Source organism: Homo sapiens, chromosome X (assembly GCF_000001405.40).
Source record: "Homo sapiens chromosome X, GRCh38.p14 Primary Assembly".
NCBI classification, from domain to species: Eukaryota; Metazoa; Chordata; class Mammalia; order Primates; family Hominidae; genus Homo; species Homo sapiens.
The window spans coordinates 18,867,920-18,876,989 of record NC_000023.11 but is presented as its reverse complement, the minus strand read 5'-3'; the positions used below and the strand labels follow the sequence as shown (position 1 = coordinate 18,876,989).

Below are 9,070 nucleotides of genomic sequence, written 5' to 3'. Positions count from 1 at the left end.
AGAACAACTTCTTCCCTTTGGCCATTAAAATGTAAGCAATTGACCTGGCACCGTGGCTCATGCCTGCAATCCCAGCAATCTGGGAAGCTGAGGCAGGAAGATCACGTGAGCCCAGGAGTTTGAGACCAGCTTGAGCAACATAGTGAGACCTCATCTCTACCAAAAATTTAAGAATTAGTTGGGTGTGGTGGCACGCACCCTTAGTCCCAGCTGCTCAGGAGGCTGAGGCAAGAGGATGGTGTGAACCCAGGAGTTTGAGACCAGTCTGGGCAACATGGCAAGACTCTGTCTTTAAAAAAAAAAAAAAACAAAAGTAACTGTACTGTGAGTGGCAAAACAGTTAAACTTCAAATATCAAAATTCAACTTCCTTCAAGTGATCTTCTCTTTAGGTGTCTGACAATGTTCTTTGGAAATTCAGGTTGAAATACAGTGACTTCTAGGGCAAAGAAAACAAGCAGAACATCCATTCCCCATATCCTAGGCACACTCATCCCTCACATGCCATTTGTTCCTCACGCCACCTCTCTGAGAGAAGGCATATCACCCCCTTCTGTGGACAGGGAAACTGAGGCTTAGAGATATTCAGAAGCTGGTCTGGATTCTAGCGCCTGTATAGAAGTGGCAGAGATGGGGCCGGGTGCAGTAGCTCACACCTGTAAACCCAGCACTTTGGGAGGCCGAGGCAGGCAGATCACTTGAGGTCAGGAGTTCGAGACCAGCCTGGCCAACATAGTAAAACCCCATCTCTACTAAAAACACAAAAATTAAGTGGGCATGATGGCACGTGCCTGTAGTCCCAGCTACTCAGGAGGCTGAGGCAGGAGAATCTCTTGAACTCGGGGAGGTGGAGATTGCAATGAGCAGAGAGTGCATCACTGCACTCCAGCCTGGCCAACAGAGAAGACTGTCGGGAAAGGGAAAGGGAAGGAAAAGGGAAGAGAAGGAAAAGGGAAGGGAAGGGAGAGAAGGAGAAAGAAGTGGCAGAGCTGCAATTCAAAGCCAAGCCTTGCCCTTTAAAACTATACACCTTCTTCCAGGGTTGGAGGCCAAAGGATTCCTCCTTTCCACCACTCCTCCTGGAGGAACATGTGTCGGTACCCAAAAGCATGCCTGCAAGGTGGAGAGACAGGGAGAGGTTCGCGTGGCACCCAGACGAGCCCCCTAATTCATGTCATTTTTCTGCATTGAGTCCTGATGATTTATTTCCCCAAGCACAGCCCAACTGAGGCTGAACCTCCTGGGCCCACGTGACCTCCTCAGCCTGGCTCCGGGAGGAGGTAGCTGAGCCGCATCTTCCCATCTGCTAGGTGTCAGGTTTTGCAGGACACCAGGCCTGAAGCTGTCCCTGGCCGTCCTCTCCCAGTCGCCCCACCCCACACCATTTCCCAGCTTCCCAGGAGGCGACAGATCCCTTGTCTGTTCCCCAGCAACGCACCCCGACCCCAAGTCTCTCCTGCCCCCAAGCAGATCCCATTCTCAGAGCACAAGGCATCCTTGGCCTTCAGCGCTGAATGCTCACAAGCTTATGTGATCAGTGTGCACACCAGCACCAGCAGCGTGCCAGGGCCAGGCATGTTGTACAAGTGAAATGCCAAGAGTGTGCTCCAGGGAGCAGCCTGGAAGGAAGCAAGAGTGACAGGGGAAGGAGCTGAGCAGGGTGTGGCATCAGGTGGAACCCAGCCAGCCCGACGCCACAGGGGGCTCTGGAGTGAGCACTGCAAGATAAAAGCAGCCTCTGCCATCAGTTAGCCAGTGACTGCTGGCTGCCCGCGGGTGGCAATGGGGGCAGTTGGGGGGGACGCGGATGGGACACAAGCTCTTAGGCAAGCACCTCCCATCAGTCCAGGGCAATGCACCAGGAAAGGGGGTCGCTGTGCGTTGCTGGCACCCAACATTCCTAGAAGCTGGAGGATGAGTGCACCGGCCAATAAAGGGGATGCAGCGGGGCCAACAGCTTCCACTACAACGAGATACCGCTTCCTGTGCTACGTGCTTCACGTACATTCGCTCTCATCTTTGCTATGGTCCCGGGATGTGGTTGTGGTTACGATAAATGGAGGCTCCGAATGCCCATGTCATTTGTCCAGAGTTTCCCATACCCTTGATGGCAGAGGGGCATCTGAAATCAGGTTGTATGACTTCAAAGTCCATGTAGGGTTGCCAGAGTTGACAACTAAAAATACAAAACGCCGGCCGGGCACGGTGGCTCAGGCCTGTAATCCCAGCACTTTGGGAGGCCGAGGTGGGGGTGGATCACTTAAGGTTAGGGGTTCGAGAGCAGCCTGGCCAACATGGTGAAACTTCGTCTCTACTAAAAATACAAAAATTAGCCGGGCATGGTGGCACACGCCTGTAATCCCCGCTACTCAGGAGGCTGAGGCAGGAGAATCACTTGAACCTGGGAGGCGAAGGTTGCAGTGAGCCAAGATCACGCCACTGCACTACAGTCTGGGCAACAAAGTGAGACTCTGCCTCAAAAAAAAAAAAAAAAACAAAAAAATACCCAGTTATATTTGGATTTAAGGCCCAGTGCACTGGCTCACACCTGTAATCCCAGCACTTTGGGAGATCTAACATGGCGAAACCCCATCTCTACCTAAAAATACAAAAATTAGGCAGGCATGGTGACGCACGCCTGTAGTCCCAGCTACTTGGAGGCTGAGGCAGAAAAATCGCTTGAACCTGGGAGGCAGAGGTTGCAGTGAGCTGAGATGGTGCCATTGTACTCCAGCCTGGGTGACAGGGTGAGAATCCGTCTCAAAAAATAAATTTGGATTTCAGGTCAACAAGGAATCTGGTTTTAGCACAAGCATGTCCCGGACAATATTTGGGACATGCGCAAATGAAACTATTATGCATCGCTTATGTGACATGCAAATTAACGGGGCGGCCTGTATTTTAGCTGACAACACTAAAGCCCACAGTAGTGGGCTGCCCTCTTCCACTCTGGTTACTCAAGCAAACAGGGCCGGGGTGCGGGGGGCGTGGAAAGAGCACATGGCACCAGATACTGGGGGACAGCATTCTGTTACACTGAAATACACACAAATGCTTTCGTGCTTTGCAGAGGGAGGGGACCTACAGTTTTTGTCTGATAACGAGGATATAATTGTGGCCACATCACCACGTTTGAAATTATCCCCTTTAAATGCTGTACCTCCGGGGGGGTTCTCACTGAAAGCACAAAGCGATGAGAAGTGGGACATTTTCTGTCCGGTGTTATCGGGTCCCCGCGAGAACGCCCCCGAGTTCGGCAGGCAGCCCCGGGTTTCCCTCCACCCTCGCGTGAGGGAGCTGTGACTGGATTCTCTCTCTCAATCGATCACTCTAGGCGCCCACACTCGGCGCTGACAAACCTCAACTCTGCAGGAGCCCCTGCACGGAGGGGAAGCCCAGGAAGCACAATCCCCCCCATCCCCGGGGGCTTGAGCTGTACCCCAGAGCTCTAACTTATTTGACGACTCTGCCTCCCCGCCCAGCTGAGGTCCCAAGAGCTGTCCACTGTGCACGATGTGACACATAGCACCTGCAGAAAACCATTTCCAGTGCCTGCTCCCACTCTCGCACTGGGAGGCGTTTCACCAGGCGCCGCGCTGGGGGTAGTGAGGGATGGGGTGAGCTTCGGAGGCTCCCCGAGGCAGCAGTAAATCTAGGCTATAATTAAATCAGACTGTGAACATATTGTTCACGGAAACCTCAGCAGAACATGAGTCATGTTGCTTGAGTGAATCACAGCCTCAGAGTTTCCATTTATAATTGCTTTATCTGGGGCCTTTATATTTCACTCAGGATTTTGGCCCATGCTCCCGTTATTCTCCCTTTTGGGGAAAGCCTGAGGACTGGACATGGCTAAGAGTGTACCTGGGCAGCCAGGAAAAAGAGCAAACGCCAGGAGAATCCTCTCCCCAGCCCCAGGGGCACCTCCCTCCTGCGGATGCCCCCAGGGCCATGGGGACAAGCGGCAGGGGAAACAGAAGGAGGGGACATCGGGCCATTTCGACTCTTGCTAGTTTCTGAAATTTTAAGTAAAATTTGATGAGAGGGAGGAGGTTGAAAGCTCAGGTTAGAATGAAGTTTCATGATCTCTGTGCTGCTTTTGGTTAACTCGGCTACCGGGACACAGCAGACAGCGCACAGTAGTGCCCACACACAGGCCCCGGAGCCTGACTGGGCTCTGCCCCACCGCGTACCAGCTGCACAATGTTGACAAGTGGCTTCACCTGTGTCTGTCTCTTCCTGTGTAAAATAGGAGTGATAATAACAGTAACCTCATAGGCTGGTTGTGAAGATTAATGAGTTAATATGGGTGAAACCCTTAGAATACCAATGGGCTTGGTAGAAGTGCTAGTGTGTGAGTTTTCATCACCATCACCACCAACATCATCTCAGACCACCCGCGGCATCGCTGAGCACTGAGGGACAGGGCCTCACGTGCTTCACACACAACCCACAGGCAGCAGTGCAGGTGGAGGCAGAACTCACAGGATAGGGGTGCTACCTGGGCCTTCCCTGCATTCTGTCCGTCACTTTTGTTGTAGGCGAGGAAATGCAAGCCCCAGCTCACACACATTAGCGGTGAGCCCAAGCAGACAGAGCTGAGCCTCCTGACCCCACCCAGCACGCTTTCGTGTGTTCCCAGGTGTTCCTACTGCAACCACGTGCTTGGAGCCGGGAGCAGGTTTCTCCCTTTAGGAGATTTGCAGGGTGGGGTCTGTAGCACTGGTAGGCAGTGGGAGACTGACACTTTGAGCCACACCCGGGGCTGTGTAGTCAGGGTCCCCACAACCAGAGCGCCAGCACCCTCATCACTCAGTGCACACGTTCAGGATGCAGCAAGTTCCAATGTTGTCACCTCATTTGGAACCTCACCACAATCTTTGGAGGCCAGCTGGGGGCAGGGGGGCGGGGGTTGTGGACGAGGTGCCCCTGCTGCGGATCCTCTGAGAGCTTTGTAATGAAGAGTGATTTCACCCACTCAGACCCAACATGTAAGTGGCCCCGGGGATCCCCAACGTTTTTCCTGCAGGGATCTTTTTATCACCCCACTTTCCCTGCTTTGAACGAGTTTTTCTCCAAAGCTGCAAGTGATAAGTAAATTAATTTGTTCTCCTATAATTTATTAATTGGCAATGAACATAATGGCCAAATGAAGTTTCTGTTCAGCATGGGAGAAAGGGTGCTCCCAAGCCAAGGAGCTGGGATTCCTGCCAAGAGCAAAGAAATGTGACATTTTCCTTGGCCCGAGATATCTTATTAGGAGCTCCAAGTACATTCTCCGGAAGGCTTTCTAAAATGACAACACCAGATAGGCTCCTGTTAGGATGGCTGTCCTCCCCACAGGCCCAGGGACCCCAGGAAGGGAGTCATCAGGGGCTGCGATCCCGCTATGGCAGTCCAGCCCCTCTAGGTCAATGACTGGGTAAGGGCCTGTATTAGTCTGTTCTCACACTGCTAATAAAGAACTAGCTAAGACTGGGTAATTTATAAAGGAAAGAGGTTTAATGGACTCACAGTTCCACGTGGCTGGGGAGGCCTCACAATCATGGCAGAAGATGAAGGAAGAGCAGAGGCATATTACACGGTGGCAGGCAAGAGTGCGTGTGCAGGAGAACGCCCCCTTTATCAAACCACCAGATCTCGTGAGACTTATTCACTATCACGAGAACAGCACAGGAAAGACTAGCCCCCATGATTCAATTACCTCCCCCTGGGTCCCTCCCACAACACATGGGAATTGTGGGAGCTGCAATTCAAGATGAGATTTGTGCCCAGATAGAGTGATAACCCTGACCCTAAGCTGGGCTGAGCATGAGCCATGTTTTTCAGTTAGAAATGCTTGGTTTGGGGCTGGGTGTGGTGGCTCATGCCTGTAATCCCAGCACTTTGGGAGGCAGAGGCAGGCAGATCACCTGAGGTCAGGAGTTCAAGACCAGCCTGGCCAACAAGGCAAAACCCTGTCTCTACTAAAAATACAAAAATTAGCCAGGTGTAGTGGTGCACATCTGTAATCTCAGCTACTCAGGAGGCTGACACAGGAGAATCACTTGAACCCGGGAAGTGGAGGTTGCAGTGAGCCGAGATTGCACTACTGCACTCCAGCCTAGGCAATAGAGCAAGACTTCGTCTCAAAAAAAGAAAGAAAAAAAGGAAATTTTTGGTTTTGCTCCAAAGCCCTGGTATTGTGGAAAGATCACTTGAGTTACAGTCAAAAGGACACCAACTTGTCTTTCAACTCCATGAATGTATCTGTTACTTTATCACTTAAAATCTCACATAAAGTCTTTTTTTAAAAGCCCATATACCTATAAGTCACATTAAAAGTCTAACAACAGTAGGTATTCACAAAGGGGAAAATGGAATGAGCGGCAATTTAACTAGAAAAATTAGAGGAAAAAAAACCAACAATTTAATAGAGTAAGATGAATAAAATGAAATCAAGTATATCAGTCAACTTACCAGAGGTGATTAAACTGAATTCACTCAAGAAAAGACAGAGATTATCAGATAGAGTTAAAAGTAAAAATCCAGGTATATGCTGCTCACAGGGAAAAATGCAAAAATAAAATGAGAGAGAAAAATTGAAAACAATATGCCAAAAAGATATCAGAAAAATGCCAATAAGAAGAAAGCAGGAAGAGCAGAGGTATGGAGAAAGTTGAAGTTCAAAACCCTAAACAGGATGAAGAAGAACTTGTGTATAATAAGAATGTACAATTAAGAATATATAACATTCATAACTTATGTGCACTAAATAACATAGACACTAAAATCATAAAATGAAAAAATATAGAAATACAAACAGAATAAAAATATAGTTTTGGTTTTTTTCCGAGATGGAGTCTCCATCTGTCGCCCAGGCTGGAGTGCAGTGGTGCAATCTCGGCTCACTGCAACCTCTGCCTCCCAAGTTCAAGCAATTCTCTTGCCTCAGCCTCCCCAGTAGCTGGGACTACCGGCGCCCGCCACCATGCCCAGCTAATTATTGTATTTTTAGTAGAGATGGGGTTTCGCCGTGTTAGCCAGGCTGGTCTCGAACTCCTGACCTCAAGTGATCTGCCTGCCTTGGCCTCCCAAAGTGCTGGGATTACAAGCATGAGCCATCGCGCCTGGCCAAAATACAGTTTTAGTAGGGTGTTTCAGTTCACTTCTTTCAGAACTGAATATACCTAATAAGCAAAAAAGTCAGTAAGGGCAAAGACAAAGTGACTGATACAACCAACAATTTAGTGTAACAAGTACATAGAGAGCCTTACATTCTTCAAATGGAAAACATACATTTTGTTTATATGTCCATGAAACATTTACAGAAATAGATTAGGTACATGGCCACAGGGAAAATCTTATTAAAATTTTAAGGAATAATAAAAGAGTGAAAATTTGAAGTTTGAAATATTTTAAATGTGGAAAATACGAAACACTCCTGGAAACTCCTTAGAATAAAGAGGAAATTAGGCCGGGTGTGGTGGCTCATGCTTGTAATCCCAGCACTTTGGAGGCTGAGGCGGTCGGATCACAAGATGGGGAGATCAGGACCATCCTGGCTAACATGGTGAAACCCCATCTCTACTAAAAATACAAAAAATTAGCCAGGCCTGGTGGCAGGCGCCTGTAGTCCCAGCTACTTGGGAGGCTGAGGCAGGAGAATGGCATGAACCCGGGAGGCGGAGCTTGCAGTGAGCCGAGATGGCGCCACTGCACTCCAGCCTGGGCCAGAGTGCGAGACTCCATCTCAAAAAAGAAAAAAAAAAAAGAATAAAGAGGAAATTAAAAGGGAAATTACTGTCTAGAAACTAATGAAAAGAACACTTCACACTAAAACTGACCACACAGTGAAAGCAAGGCTTAAAGGAAAATTTACAGCTTTAAATGCCTTCATTATTTTTAAAAATTTCTAAAAATTAATAACCTATACCAATCATAAGAAATTAGGGAAAAAGGCCGGGCGTGGTGGCTCACGCCTTTAATCCCAGCACTTTGGGAGGCAGAGGCGGGCGGATCACGAGGTCAGGAGATCGAGACCATCCTGGCTAACATGGTGAAACCCCATCTCTACTAAAAATACAAAAAAATTAGCCAGGCATGGTGGTGGGCGCCTATAGTCCCAGCTACTGGGCAGACTGAGGCAGGAGAATGGCGTGAACCCGGGAGGCGGAGCTTGCAGTGAGCCGAGATGTGTACAGATAAAAGCTGAAACAAGTGAAATAGAAAACAAATACCCTCCCCCCAAATATCTCAAAGGATAAATAAATGTAAAACTGGTACTTAGAAAACACTAATGAGGCTGGGCGCCATGGCTCATGCTTGTAATCCCAGCATTTTGAGAGGCCGAGGTGGGCGATCACCTGAGGTCGGGAGTTCGAGGCCTGACCTGAGGCCTGACCAACATGGAGAAACCCCTTCTGTACTAAAAATACAAAAAAAGTAGCTGGGCATGGTGGTGCATGCCTGTAATCCCAGCTACTCGGGAGGCTAAGCCAGGCTGAGGCAGGAGAATTGCTTGAACCTGGGAGGCGGAGGTTGCAGTGAGCCCAGATCACACCATTGCACTCCAGCCTGGGCAACAAGAGCAAAACTCTGTCTCAAAAAAAAAAAGAAAGAAAGAAAAAGAAAAGACTAACGATAGAGACAAATCTCTTACAAGCCAGATCAAGAAAAAGAGAAAGAAGGCAGAAGTTCACAAGAGGAGGAGTCAGAAAGGTGACATAACTACAAATTTAAAAAAATCTTAAGAAGCAGTAACAAGTAAATTTGAAAAATTTAGAGGAAATTGATGATTTCTTTGCAAAATTGAAGTTACCAAAATAGACCAATTACTGAAATAGAGCAATGATCACAGAAGAGATTGGGAAGGGGAGTAGCAATCCACTGTGAAACAGGCACCAGGACTGCATCACCCATGGCTGAGTTTTATCTAACCTTTAGTGGACAAAGGAGACTAATGGTATTTGTACCCACTTCTCTCAAAATGAATGTGTACACTGATAACCTGTGACTCTTGATAAAATGCAGATTCGGATGCAATAGACCTGGGGCGGGGCCCTAAACTCTGCATTTCTAGCAAGCTCCAG

General features: G+C 48.7%; 2 annotated features.

The window, feature by feature from the left end:
- Positions 4,108 to 4,607: an enhancer, noted in NCBI's record as "H3K4me1 hESC enhancer chrX:18890501-18891000 (GRCh37/hg19 assembly coordinates)". NCBI's record gives its function as "activates a minimal SCP1, AML or CMV promoter by ChIP-STARR-seq in naive H9 embryonic stem cells {active_cell/tissue: H9 hESC(naive)}" and the evidence as "EXISTENCE:reporter gene assay evidence [ECO:0000049][PMID:30033119]".
- Positions 4,608 to 5,109: an enhancer, noted in NCBI's record as "H3K4me1 hESC enhancer chrX:18889999-18890500 (GRCh37/hg19 assembly coordinates)". NCBI's record gives its function as "activates a minimal SCP1, AML or CMV promoter by ChIP-STARR-seq in naive H9 embryonic stem cells {active_cell/tissue: H9 hESC(naive)}" and the evidence as "EXISTENCE:reporter gene assay evidence [ECO:0000049][PMID:30033119]".